Here is a 15,720-nt window from a genome sequence, read left to right on the forward strand (position 1 = left end):
CAGCCTGGCCACATGGCAAAACCCCGTCTCTACTAAAAATACACAAATTAGTTGAGCGTGGTGGCTCACAGCTGTCATCCCAGCTTCTTGGAAGGCTGTTATGAGAATTGCTTGAACCCAGGAGGCGGAGGTTGCAGTGAGCTGAGATTGTACCACTACACTCCAGCCTGTGCAACAGAACAAGACTCTGTCTCAAAAAAGTAGAAGAAAATAAAATAATAAAAATAAAAGATTGGAATGACAAATCCAAAAGATCTTACATGTGAAAAATAGTAGTGGGAAAGATGGATAAATAGGGGAACATATAGCATTTTTAGGATGGGAAAACTACCCTGTATGATACTATAATGGTAGATACATGTCACTATACACTTGTCTAAACCCAAAGAAAGTACACCAAGAGTGTGTCCTAGAATATGGACTTTGGGTGATAATGATGTGACCATGTAGTCTCATTGATTACAACAAATGCCCCACTCTGTAGGGGTGCACGATGGGGGAGGTTGTGCACCTGTTGGGGCAGGAGGTCTATGGGAAATTTTTGTACCTTACAACTCAGTTTTGCAGTGCACATAAAACCGCTCTAAAAATAAAGTCTATTAATAAAAATAGGAGTACAAAAAAGAGTGGGTAAAGGGATAGATGGGAAAAAGACAACAATTAAACAACAGAGGAAAATTTCCCTGACCTAAAGAAACACTTGAGGCTGCAAATTTCAAGAGTTCAATAAGTATTACATAGAATTTATGATAAAAAAGATGTGTACCTAGACATATACTGGTTAAATAAATGACTTACAAGACATCAAATATAAACATTATTTACAAATAAAAAGAAATTAGATTGTCATTGGATTTTCATCTGTTGCACTAGAAACTAGAAAATAATAAAATAACATCCAGTTTCCTGGGAAAAAAAGAGAACTGATACCCAGGACTACTACATAGCTAGAACTCAGTGGTTTTGCCACACCTATTGTTAAAATATTAAAATATTGACCATTTGTGATGGCTCACGCCTGTAATCCCAGCACTTTGGGAGGCCGAGGCAGGCGGATCACCTGAGGCCAGGAGTTCCAGACCAGCCTGGCCAACATGGCGAAACCCTGTCTCTACTAAAAATAAATAAATTAGCCAGGTGTGGTGGCATGCACCTGTAGTCACAGCTACTTGGGAGGCTGAGGCAGAAGAATTGCTTGAACTCAGGAGGCAGAGGTTGCAGTGAGCCAAGATCACGCCACTACACTCCAACCTGGGTGACAGAGCGAGATTCCATCTCAAAAAAAAAAAAATTAAAATATTTTCACACTGTCTATGAAATAGCTTTGTCCCTGATCATCTCCCCACCAGCCCTTTCTACTCCTACCCTGTTCTACAGGATTCAGCAACTAAGGAGTTAATGCCTGGCACACCTTTCTTATTGACTGGCCAGTCTCTGGTTTAGTATTTAAACATCATTACTGCTTCAAAGATACCACCTGACAGGGGAATGAAAGTTATTAGATAATAAACCACCCATGTATCTCATCTGAAGAAAATATTTGAGAAAGAACGCCAGCCAAATAAGAAAAAAATCAAAACAGAGATTTCAAGAGAGAAGAAGAAAAGAGATGAAAACAATGATGAGAAATGAGCCTTGCAATATGTACTAAAATTTAAATAGATAATGATAGAGTGGGATTATATAGGCAGAATTCGAATTTTTGAAATAGAAAATATTTTCTGCAAGAGAAAATTTACTACAAAGTTAAAATTACACGTACCAGATTATCTCAGCAAAACCTAGGGATAGAGGAAAGAGAAAGAAGGGAAGTAAACCAACTCTTGGGTCTCATCTTTTTTGGGGGCAGGGGAACAGATATGGACAATGGGCATAACATTCTAAGGGTTTCATATTCTTAGGGAGGGAGACCAGTGGTAAGTAGAGCACCTGGGTGGGGACAGGTGGCATCTTTTTTGATGAAATAGTCAAGAAATATATTTGATTATAAATGTCAGAGAAGAGAAGATAGCTATCAGAAATGGGAAAATATGGTAAAACTTTCCAATTAACAAGGTGAAAAGGCTGGATGTGGTGGCTCATGCCTGTAATCCCAGTACTTTGGGTGGCCAAGGCGAGCAGATTGCTTGAGCCCAGGATTTTGAGACCAGCCTGGGCAACATGGAAAAACCCAGTCTCTACAAAAAATACAAAAATTAGCCAGGCGTGGTAGTACATGCCTACAGTCCCAGCTACTCGGGAGGCTGAGGTGGGAGGATCGCTTGAGCCCAGGAGGTTGAGGCTGCGGTGAGCCATGATTGTGCCACCGCACTCCAGCCTGAATGACAGAGTGAGACCCTGTCTCCCAAAAAACCAAAACTTAAACAAAACAAAAACAAAAAAACCCCACAAGAATTATATAGGAATTTTGTTACACCACCAAAAACAATGAAAAGGGAAAAGAAAAACCACAAATCAAAGTACCTAATAAAAATAAAGATGGAAGTGATGAAAAGAAGCACATCAGTTATTTTACTATGTATGAAGAGGATACTTTTATCCATTTGAGACATAGAAACTTTTTGATACAGTAAAAACCAAAAATAAGTATATTTGATTATAAATGTCAGATATATCAACATATCACTCTTAAGGTGACAAAGATTAACAATAAAAGGATGGACAAATAACACTAGACAAAATGCAAACAAAAAGAAATCAGGAATGTCAACGAGGTGGAATGTAAGTTTAGAAGCTTGAAACAGGATAAAGGAGAATATTATATAACAATAAAAGACACAATCTACAAAGAAGATGTGTAATAATTATGTATATACTAAACAGCTTTGCATTATATATGAAGCCAAAGGTAATTAAAATATGAAACTTTGATAAAAAATATACAATTACTCTGAGAGATTTTAACTCATGTCTTTCAGATCAATAGATACAGTAGTAAAAAATGTAAGACATATAAAGACTGAATAATGCAAAAGTCCAAAGTTTTATGTCCTATAAATGGAGAACTATTTTATTGTTTGTGAAGCATTTTCCAAAGTTGGTATTACCTTGACCATAAAGGTTGTTAATAAAAATTTTAAAGTAGATATTTTTTCAGGCAAAATTCTTTAATCAAATACCAATTACATTAAATATAAATAACTAAAGGATGGTAATTGTATTTTTTTCTACTTGAAAATTAAAAAGTGTCTTTCTAAATAAATCCTGGATCAAAAAAGAACCAATAAAAAACTATGCTTTTAGTTAGGAAGACAATATAATCTTCCAAATATTAATAGGCATATACAATATATTTCAATGAGATTCACTTTTCTATTCTTTTTTCTTCAGAGATGGGGTCATGTTATGTTAACCAGGTTAGTCTTGAGCTCCTGGCCTCAAGCAATCCTCCTGCCTCAGCCTCCCAAAGTGCTAGGATTCCAGGCAAGAACCACTGCACCGGGCCACTATTATATTCTTTAATGAGATAAAATGATCTTAAAGCTTTTATAGAAGACTAAAGGTTAAAGACTTTTTAAAAATTGTGAAAAAGAAGAATACTGAGAGATACTTCCCTTTCCAGATATTAAAACGTATTTTAAGATCTAGTACTAAAATGTTATGGTAGTTGCTCATTATCATTGTGATTGACCCTCTTTATCCCTAGTAATATTTCTCACTCAGATGTCTACTTTGTCTGTATTAATATAGCCACTCTAGCTTTCTTTCGATTAGGGTTTGCATAAGATGACTTTTTTTTTCACTGTTTTACCTTTAGCTTACATGTGTCTATATTTAAAGTGGGTTTCTTGTGGACAACATATAGCTGGGTCTTACTTTTCAACCAGTCTGACAATGTTTGTTTTTCAGTTGGGGTGTATAGACCATTTACATTTAACATACTTGTTAATATGGTTGGGGTTCTATTTTTTTTTTATGTGTTTTATCTGGGTTTTTTGTTCTCTTTTTCCTCTTACCCTTCCTTCTTTTGGATTAAGTATGACTTTATCTCCTTTATTGGCCTATTAGCTATAACTCTTTGTTCTTAATGTTAATTTACTGGTTGCCTTATAGTGTGCATCTTTAACATATCACAGTCTACATTCAAGTGATATTATTCCACTTCACATGTGATATAAGAAGCTTACTTCTATCAACAATACATCAAAGAGAATAGTTTTTATGTATTATTGCCTCTAGGTCTATCTTGGTTAAAAAGTTCTTTTCAAACCCAAGCTTATACATGTATTCTCTTAAAACTGTTCTATAGTTTTTGTTTACATACAGATTTTAAGTTTTTTTGGAAATTGATTTTTGTATATGGTGTGAAACAGGGGTCTAACTTTATTTTCCTCCAGGCCAGTTGTGTCCTAACCAATATAAAATAAACCATTGTTTTCCCATTGACTTCAAATAGCACTTTTGGCATACAGTCAGATGTTGCTTAACAGTGAGGATATGTTCTGAGAAATGCATCATTAGGTGGTTTTGTCATTGTGCAAACATCACAGAGTGTACTTACACAAACCTAAATTGTATAGCCTACCACACACCTAGGGCATGGACAATAGAAAAAGTATTCTTCCATTGTCTCCTTCTTGGCCTTTGTATTAACCTTATGATATTGGTATCGTAATAGGCAAAAAGAAAAGTAGAAGAGAAAAAAATGTCCAGAAATAGATGTCAGTATATATATATGATAACTGAATATATAGTCAGGCACTATATAACTACATTTTGGTCAACAATGGACTGCATATATGACAGTGGTCCCATAAGATTATAATACTATATTTTTGCCATACCTTTCCTATGTTTATATACACAAATACTTACCACAGTGTTACAATTGCCTACAATATCAGTACAGTAACATGCTGTACAGGTTTGTAGCCTAGGAGCAATGGGCTATACCATATAGCCTAGATGTGCGGTAGGCTCTATCATCCATGTTTATGTAAGGGCACTCTATGATGTTTACTCAAAGGCAGAATCACCTAATGATGCATTTCTCAGAACGTATTCCCATTGTTAAGCAATGCATGGCTGTATGCCAAAAGTGCTATTTCAAGTTAATGGGAAAACTATGGTTTATTTTAAATTGGTTATGACACAACTGGCCTAGAGAAGAATAAAATTGGGATCCCTGCTTCACACCATATACAAAAATAAATTTCCAGAAAAACTTAAACTCTATATGTAAACAAAAACTATAGAACAATTTTAAAAGAATATATGTGTAAGCTAGGGTTTGGAGAGAGAAACCTTTTTAATCAAGACAAGAGCCTAGAGGCAATAAAATATAAAATAAATATATTCGATGATATAAAATATAAAATGTTATATGGCAAAATAAAAACAAAATCACAAGACAAAAAGATTGATAAAAAGTATGTGCCACAAAAATAACTCACACATAAAATGAATATGCATATCTGTCAGAAGGTTCCTATAAATTGACTATCAACAGAATACAGAAATAGAGACAAATAAATATAAAAAGTCAATTTATAGAAGAGAAATGCAAATGGTCAATAAACCAATGAAAATATTTTCTAATGTGGAGAAAATGCAAATTAAAGTAACAATGAGATGTCTCAACTTATCTACCAAATTAGCAGACAATAAAAACTTACTATTGATGAAAATGTGAAAAAAACCTATTCTGTGCATATATTGCCAGGGGAAATTTGGATTGTTACAGCTTTTATGGAAAGCAATCCAGATATATATTTTAAATTTTACAATTTACATACTCTGATGGAGAAATCCTTCTGGAAATCTATCTGCTATAAGTGAAATTCCAATATGTAAAAATATACATGCAAAGATGTTTACCATAGCGTTGTTTGTTGCAGCAAAAAATTAGAAACTGAGTAAATGCCTTTCAATATGGTGGAAGAAACTGTGATACAATTAAGCCATGGAATATAAGTTAATTATTGAAAAGAACGAGTTGCAGCAGGGCATGATGGCTCACTCCTGTAATCCCAGCACTTTGGGAGGCCAAGGCAGTAGGATTGCTTGAGCCCAGGAGTTTGAGACCAGCCTGGACCACATAAGGAGATCCCGTACCTACAAAAAAATTTAAAAATTAGCCAGGTGTGGTGGCTCAGGAGGCTAAGATAGGAGGATTGCTTGAGCCTAGGTGGTCAAGGCTGCAGTGAGCCGTGATTGCACCACTGCACTCCAGCCTGGGTGACAGGGAAAACCCGTCTCAAAAAAAAAAAAAAGAATGAGTTGGATGTATACCACTGAGGGAAATTCCATAATGTATCAAGAGAAAAAAAAAAGTAAAAAAAACTAGACACAAAGGAATACAGATAATATGATCCCATTTTTGTAAAATACACATGAATTAGAAAAGAAAAGCTTATTATATATAGTTTATACGTGATTGTATGAATACAAATGAAGCATGAAAGAATAGATAACAGATTGTAAATTTTGGCAGAGGAGAGGAGTAATAGGAAACAAAAGGAGACTAAAGAATTTCCCTGTTCTTTTATAATAATTATTATTATTATTATTTACCACATGATTACTGATTTTTTTTTTTAACAGAGTCTCGCTGTGTCGCCCAGGCTGGAGTGCAGTGGTGCTATCTCGGCTCACTGCAACCTCCTCCTCCCGGGTTCAAGCGATTCTTGTGCCTCAGCCTCCTGAGTAGTTGGGACTACAGGTGCATGCCACCACGCCTGGCTAATTTTTGTATTTTTAGTAGAGACAGGGTTACACCATGTTGACCAGGCTGGTCTCAAACTCCTGACCTCAAGTGATCCACCCACCTCAGACTCCCAAACTGCTGGGATTACAGGTGTGAGCCACCACGCCAGGCTATGATTTTCTATTTAGTAGGAACGATAAAAAATATACGAGGATACTAATTTAAATACTGAGATATAGTTCTAAAATAAATTATGATTTTTCTTTTTTCTTTTATTTTAAAATATTTAATTGACAAATATTGTATATACTCAAGGTGTACAATGTGATGAGGCATATGCATATACATTGTGATATGGACAATCAAATTAACCCATCTATTACCACCTATGCTATACATTGGATCCCCAGAACTTTATCATCTTAAAACTGAAAGTTTGTACTCTTTGACCATCATCTCTCCATTTTTTCCACTTCGAACTCCTAGCAACCACCATTCTACTTTCTGCCCCTGAGTTCAACTTTTTGAGATTCCACATACAAGTGAGGTCATACAGTATTTGTCTTTCTGTGTCCAGCTTATTTCACTTAGAATAATATCCTTTAGGTTTATCAATGCTGTCACAAATGACAGGATTTTTTTTTATGGCTGAATAATCTTTCATTGTATCTAACACATTTTATTTACTCATTCATCTGTCAATGGGCACTTAGGTTGTTTCCATATCTTGGCCATCGTGAATAATGCTGCAACGAATATGGGGATATAGATATCTCTTCAAGATACTGATTTCATTTCATTTGGATATATACCCAGAAGTGGGATTGCTTGATCATATGGTAGTTCTATTTTTAATTTTTTGAGGAACCTCCATACTGTTTTCCATAATAGTTGTACCAATTGGTATTTCCACCAACAGTATACAAGGTTCCCTTTTCTTCATGCCCTTGTCAACACTTGTTATCTTTTTTCTTTTTGATAATAGCCATCCTAAGAGATGTGAGGTGATATCTCATTGTGGTTTTAATTAGAATTCTCTGGTGATTAGTGATTTTGAGCACTTCTTTATATATCTGTTGGCAATCTGTGTGTCATCTTTGGAAAAATGCCTATTTAGGTCTTTTGCCCATTTTTTAATTGGGTTACTTATTTTTTTGCTATGGAGTTTGTTGTACATTTTGATATTAACCCTTTATCAGATATATAGTTTGCATATGTTTTCTCCCATTTCACAGGTTGCATTTTCATTGTGTTGATTATTTCATTTGCTGTTCAGTAGCTTTTCAGTTTGATATAGTCCCATATGTTTATTTTTGCTTTTGTCGCTAGTGCTTTTGTTGACATATCCAAAACAGTCAGAAAACAATTAACAAAATGGCAACAGTATGCCCTTACTTATTAATAATTACTCTAAATATAAATGGATTACATTTGCTAATCAAAAGACACAGAGAGGCCGAATGGATTAATAAACAAGATCCAATAATATGCTAACTACAAGAGATTCATTTTAGTCTCAAGGGCACACAGACTGAAAGTGTAGGGGTGGAAAGAGATACTCCATGCAAACGGAAACCAAAAGAGAGCAGGGGTAGCTATATTTATATTAAACAAACTAGACTTTTAGTCAAAATCTGTCACAAGAGGTCAGGTGCTGTGGCTCATGCCTTGAATGCTAGCACTTTGGGAGGCTTAGGTGAGCGGTTCACTCGAGCACATGAGTTCAAGACCAGCCTGAGCAACATGGCAAAACTCCATCTCTACAAAAAATACAAAAATTAGCCAGGCATGTTGGTGTGTGCCTGTAGTCCCAGCTACTTGAGAGGCTGAGGTGGGAGGATGGCTTAAGCCCAGGAGGCAGAGGTTGCAGTGAACCAAGATTATGCCACTGCACTCCAGCCTTGGCAACAGAGCCAGACGTTATCTTGAAAAAAACAAATAAATAAAAAATAAACAAAATCTGTCACAAAAGACAAAGAAGATCACAATATGATGATAAGAGGTCAATTCATCAGGAGGGTATAACAATTGTAAATACATATGCACCTAACATTGGAGCACCTAAATATGTAAAGCAAATATTAACAGAACTAGAAAGAGAAACAGACAGCAATGCAATAATAATAAGGGACTTCAATCACCCACATTCAACAATGGATAGATCATCTAGAGAGAAGATTAGTAATGAAATAGCAGATGTGAATAAAACTATAGACAAATCAACCTACCAAACATAGACAGAACAATCCATTCAACAGAAGCAAACACACATTCTTCTCAGGAGCACACAGTACCTACTCCAGGGTAGATCACACGTTGGGCCACAAAACCAGTCTTAAATCTAAGAAGATTGAAATCATATCAAGTATCTTTTCTGATCGAAATGTTACAAAACTAAAAATTGACAATAGGAAGAATTTTAGAAAATTCACAAATACATAAAATTAAACAATACACTCCTGAACAACCAATGGATCAAAGAAGAAAACAAAAGAAACTCAAAAAGTGTCTTGAAACAAATGAAAATTGAACACAACATACCAAAACTTATGGGATGGGGCAAAAGCGGTGCTAAGAGGAAAGTCTGTGGTGATAAATGCCTACATTAAGGAAAAAGACAGACACCAAGTAAATAACCTAACTTCACACCTCAAGGAACTGGAAAAACAAACTAAGCTCAAGTCAGCAGAAGGTAGGAAATAAATATTAGAGCGGAAATAAATGAAATAGTCCGGGTGCGGTGGCTCATACCTGTAATCTCAGCACTTTGCGAGGCCGAGACAGGCGTATCACCTGAGGTCAGGAATTCAAGACCAGCATGGCCAACATGGCGAAACCCCATCTCTACTATAAATACAAAAATTAGCCAGGAGTGGTGGCATGCACCTGTAGTCCCAGCTACTTGGGAGGCTGAGGCATGAGAATTGCTTGAACCCAGGAGGCGGAGGTTGCAGTGAGCCGAGATCATACCACTGCACTTCCACCCTGGGTGATGGAGTGAGACTCCTACAAAAAAAAAAAAAAAGAAAAAGAAAGAAATAAAATAGAGATTAGAAAGACAATACAAATTATCAACGAACTAAGAGTTGGTTTTTTAAAAAGATGGAAAAAAATTTGGCAAATCTTTAGCTAGACTAACCAAGAAAAAAAAATACTGAAATAAATGTAATTATCAGTGAAAGACAAGGCATTATAACTGAAACCACAAAAATACAAAGGATCATAGGAGACTACTATGAACAATTATACACCAAAAAATTAGATAACTTAGAAGAAATGAACAAATTCCTAAAAATATGCAGTCTACCAAGACTGAATCATAAAGAAATGGAAAATCTGAACTGACCAATAATGAGTAAGGAGACTGAATCAGAAAATCTCCCAACAAGGAAAAGCCTAGGACCAGATGGTTTCATGGTGGCAATCTATCAAATTCTTAAATAATTCATGCCAATCCTTCTCACATTCTTCCAAAAAAACTGAGGAAGAGGGAACACTTTCTCATTTTTTTGAAAGAGAATAGCTTGAGTGCCTTTAAGCAGTCACAGGAGCATCCACAGATGTTTAAGTTAGATGAATGTGTGCACACATGCTTACTCTGTGTCAGGTATCACTTAGGTGAACGTTGATGGGTACAGTGATTTTGACCATTATACGGTTTTTCATTTTTTTGTTATATAACATTTATAATTATAATGAGTCATTCAAGAGAGAAATACTAAGGAACATGATGGGGAAATATATCAAAATACTGCAACATATAAAAATGATTTAATTCTACAAGGTTTTTTGAAGAAAGAGACCAAAACTCAGTCTGACTTGGATAACTTGATGATCACAGCTCTGGGAGTGATGAGCAGAGACGGTGACAATGCCCAATGGAGAGCGGAATCTTATCTATCCAAAGCACGGTGGAGACCAGCAGTAAGAGTTTCCAGTTCCCTGGAACTGGGATTGGCAAAACAAAGTGGGACAGGAGTCTCTAGCCACAGAGTTTCTTGTTTTCCTTGGGGCCCTCAGCAGTGGTGGGGTTAGTTGGAATAGGGAAGAGCTGGTGAAATCTTGGAAACCTAGTGGAGGTGGACTAAGCAATCTGGAGTCCTGCTGGAATATGCTTAGCAATTTCCCACCTAATTGTGTTGCTGAAGTACCCACAGGGTTGGCGTCAGGAAAGAATAGGGCATGAGTCTTTGATGCCATTTTGCCTTCTTAGAGGTCTCATGACTGTCTTTCCAGGGTATCAAAAATAGGAGGTTTCAGTGTCCAAATGCCCCATCCAGTGAAGGCTGTTCTTGGACAGCATTCTCCATATGTCTCCAGAAGAAAGGGAGACAAAGCAGTAAATTTTAGTGTTATTGGCTAGACGCTAATTTCCAGTGTATCTGTGGAGAATTAAATTGGACTTGGGAATCATAATTCCTTCCTCTCTCTGAAAAGTAAAGAAAGACTTTCTCTTTTGGCTGATGAGCCAACAGATCCTTTTTCATATTTTAAATCTCAGTTCTAGGATCTTTGATTGTGTGAAGAAAAAAAAAATAGAACAGAACTACTGCCTATGGTAGTATCTAACACTGACAATGCAGAGGAGAGGCTAAGAAACAAGATATAAAAGAAAAGCAGACTATCAGGATTTGTGCTCTGAACATCAAGTAGGAAATGCTATTACTGCAGACACTGATTAGCATTTGTTAAGTGCCTATCATGTGCCAGGCAGAACGCACAGTACTGAGAACTTTCTTTGTTGAATTATCAGACATTAGCTCTTTGTCCAAACCTCTGTGGAGTGAAGAACCTACAATTGTCCTATTCTTTTCCATTTCTGTGTTTTATTTCTCCATCGGAAAGATGTGTCTGAAAAGGTAGTCCTCTATTTCAGAGTTCCTCAAACTCAAGGTCAGAACCAAAACGTTTTGAAATTGATTAAATAAGTCTCAAACATCCATTTGTTTTAAAAAAAATGAAGTGGAATAAAAAAGAAAGTATCAGAAAGCAGGTAGTAAAGTAGTTCCATGAAATTCTTGTTTTGATTTTATAGCTGTGTGTGTGTACTGGGTCTCTGTGGAAATGTATTTCTTTCTCTGGGTAAAGGTTAAAAAGTTTGAAGAGCACTGACAGAACGATTTCACTGCACTGAAATGTACAATGGTTTACATCCAGTGGAAATATGGGGAGTGAATTATGTGTGATAACATCTCCTTAGAAAAACGGGTCATGCTCTGTTTCTTTAGGAATATTGCCAAACATGCTTACAGAACAAATAGATGGTAAAAGATAAGTGGACTGAGAGATTTCTGATCAGATTGAGTTTTCCTGAAAAACCACTTCCCTGAAGATTGCATATCATGTGCCACTTGTTGAAGCTCAGAGCAAACTGTTCAAGCATACAGCTTTCCTTTGCTAATTATACCTATTCTCATGTCATTTATTGCATTCACTAGTTATAAGTCATTTTCTTCTTCTCTCAAAAGAACCCCTTGCTATATTTCTTAAGTCCATATGCAATCACCTAAAAACACACTTTATAAATCTCTGGAGTGAGGAATATAGTGGGAACAGATGATACATTTGTGCTTGAATTATTTAAAGCAGCACAGATCATGAGTGCCTAAAATGAGAATTCAATTGGTAGTTTAATACCAAAATCCCAAGAAAGGTATAACGTAAACAATGATACATTCTTTGTATTTTGTGTGTGGTATTTTAAAAATGAATGCTGACTAGGTTGTTTGTGTAAATCCTTTGCCAACACAAAAAGCAACAGAATCTTGCAGAGCATGCAAAACAATTTCTTAAGTCTTTTAGCATGTGTGTTTTGATTTTGAGGAAGGAAAGAAATAGGATTTTTGCAACTTCGAAACAAATCTTCAAGATCTTATATACTCTGGGAGCTCCAAAGTGCTGAAGTAAGCCTGCCGTCAATACACTGGATTGAAAATCTTGCACTGCCATCATCTCAGAGAAACAGACAGGAAACTTGAGGTCTGAGAACTGAATTGTGCCAGATATTTGACAGTCTTTTCTTCTCTTCTTCCCCCAATTTTTTATTTTCAAAAATATCAAACCTACACAAAAGTTGAAAGAATAGCACATACAGGTATTCTAGCACACACATCTATAGAGGTGCCTTCTATTTCAGTTAACCAATTGTTAACATTTTGTCACATTTGCTTTCATATATATATGTATATATGTGTGCATGTATATAGATATATTAATAGATATATGTGTCTATGTGTGTATATATATGGGGGGGTATGTGTGTGTCAGTTGCAGATATCATGACAATTTTCCCCTAAATACTTCAGCAACTATCTCCTAAGAATAAAGGTAATCTTCCACATCACCATAATATTTAACATTGATTTAGTAATGTCTTCTCATGCAGAGCCTAATCTAAATTTCCCTATTGTTTCAGCACCTGGTATTCTTGGTCCTGGGCCAAGACTGCATTCCTCAGCTCTTCCAATTCCTAGACTGAACAATTCCCTTAAATCTGCAATATATCTTCCTTACCCTATGCAGGGGACTGTTTCCTAGCCAAGCCTGTACATTAATATTCTGCCCCCTAACCCCCCACAAGCACTGAGGGATGGAAGGAACATGACTGACATAACAGAGAGAGGCGATTGCCAGTCTGGAAGTCCTCCTGGGGAAAGCAATGTTCTTCCTTTAACCCTGAGCAGATGAGCCAGGAATCTTCAAGCTGTAGGACATTGGTTCCAAACTTGCTCCTACATAAAAGGTCTGCTGTGCTGGAGGGACATTTGCACTTAATGCCAAGGCCACCTCCACTCTACCTACCGTGGCATGCAAGGCCCTTCATGAGCTGGCTTCTGTTTATCTCTCCAACCTTATCCCCTCCTTAAAACCTACTCTCCAGCCTCCCTTAACAAATGAAGTTCTCTTTGACCTCTAGGCTGTCGCTCATGTTTCTTCTGCCCAGATGACGATTTCTACCCTTTCACTCCCAGGATTCCCCATGATGCATTCTCTGAGCACCTCTGGCCTCCGAAGCCTAAGCTGCTTCTCCCCTGGCTCCCATCACTCATCCCTTCTCCTTTCTACGCTGCCACAATCTATTGTAATTGCCCGTTTATTTGTCTGTAGCCCAGACGGTAGAAACCATGTGGGTAGAGCTATGTCTCCTCAGTCCCTGGCACAGCACCAGCCCATAGTAAGTGTTCAAGCAGTATTTATCAAATGGACATCTACATGTTGCATGAACTCCTGTTGTTGAGGAATTGGGCCCCTCGTAGTTTATGCATTCCTTGACACCCTGTTTCATGTGAGGTGCTCAGTGGCTATGTACTACATGGTGGAATATCCACCCTCCAGGAGTTATGCTCTCAATAGGGAGGCAAGTCTAAAATGCACAAAGGGCCAAATAGCAGTACAAAAAACTGGGTAAGAGATGGCCAACACACCTGCATCCACAGGTCTGACTATGCATTGGAATCATCCAAGGGGACTTGCTGAAAATACAAATTCCTGGTCTCCCTAAGAGGTTTTCATCAAGAAGGTCCAGGGATCTCTTGATGTAAGTGACTCAGGGAATTCCGATGCACGTGGACCAAGGACTAAACTTTAGGAACCATTGGCAATTAGGGGAAAGCTTCATCAGATGGAGTGGTCATAGGGCCCTTCCACCAGACCCTTCAGTGCCTCTGTATGAATGAGAAAAAGGCACCCCGTTGGAAGGATACCACCCATGGGCACATGGCCTGGTGTGTGGAGGCCAGGTGTGCTCTACTTGCCGTCCTCCTCAGGACGCCCTTGTAGAGGGCATGATGCTTTGATATTAATCATGGCTTTGTCCTGGATGCCCCTGAAACAGTATCTAAGCACTTTTTTCACATCCCTTCAAAGTCCTCCGTAGCTGCACATAAGGAGATAAACAATAGTCATTATAATGTATGTTATACATATAATATTCCACATTGGCTGGTCAAGTGAATCCCAATAAACATAGAAACCACACAAAACAAATGACTTAAACACTATTATTTGCCTTACGCCTCCCACTTCAAGGCAGCCAAACCCCGGGTGTGGCCCCACAGCTGAGGGAGGTTATTTCAGATGTGAGATCCTCCAGTGAGCTTTGTGAACAGCATATGTTTGCAGCACTTGAAAAGGAATGTCTGACTGTACTGATACGGACTCCTACAAAACCCGAAGAGTCAAACACTGGGTCACAGGGTAACCAACTAGCCATTTTCCAAACAGATGAATCCTGGTGGTGCAAATCTCCCTAAGTAATCCCTAGAGGTTCAAGCTCATCAACATTTATTGGGTACTATAATATACAAGGCACTCTGCTCAGTTCCAGTGGTGGGAGTGTGAAGATGAAGAAGGCATGATGCCTGCCCTCAAGGAGACAAAAATATAGTAAACAGAAACTCCATCTAAGTAAGATGATGTTGTAACACCTCTAAAAATGGTTCAGACACAGTGCTATTGGTGAACGGAAAAATGAAGATTTTATTCCACATAGAAGGACTGGCAAAGGCTTAATGGAGCAGGTGGAATGTTCCCAGAGTGTTGAAAACTAGATAGGGTTTTGACAAATAGATAGCACTGGAAAAAGATATTAAGGCTGCTGGAATCTTGGCTGTCAAACTAATTAGCTGTGTGACTATAGGAAAGTCACTTAACCTCTCTGAGTTTTAATTCTCTTATGACTAAAATTAGGAAAATGATGACACAAGGTGCTATCGTCTGAATGTTTCTGTCCCCTGATAAATTTGTATGTTGAAATCCCAATCCCCAAGGTGATAATATTAGGAGGTGGAGCTTTTGGGGAGGTGATGAGTCACTGGGGCAGAGCCCTCATGAATGGGATTAATGCCCTTACAACAGAGGCCCAAGGAAGCTTCCTTGCCCCTTTCATCATGACACAGTCAGGAGGTGCTGTACTATGAACCAGAAAGCAGGTCCTCACCAGACACCAAATCTACTGGCACCTTGATCTTGGACTTCTAGTCTCTGGAACTGCAAGAAATAAATTTCTGTTTATAAGCCACCTAGTTTATGGTATTTGTTATAATAGACCGAACATACTAAGACACAAGGTTGCT

General features: G+C 37.5%; 1 annotated feature.

The window, feature by feature from the left end:
• Positions 141-190: a silencer, noted in NCBI's record as "silent region_1837". NCBI's record gives its function as "represses an Ori minimal core promoter by ATAC-STARR-seq in GM12878 lymphoblastoid cells {active_cell/tissue: GM12878}" and the evidence as "EXISTENCE:reporter gene assay evidence [ECO:0000049][PMID:35858748]".

This window comes from Homo sapiens, chromosome 1 (genome assembly GCF_000001405.40).
Source record: "Homo sapiens chromosome 1, GRCh38.p14 Primary Assembly".
Taxonomy (NCBI): Eukaryota; Metazoa; Chordata; class Mammalia; order Primates; family Hominidae; genus Homo; species Homo sapiens.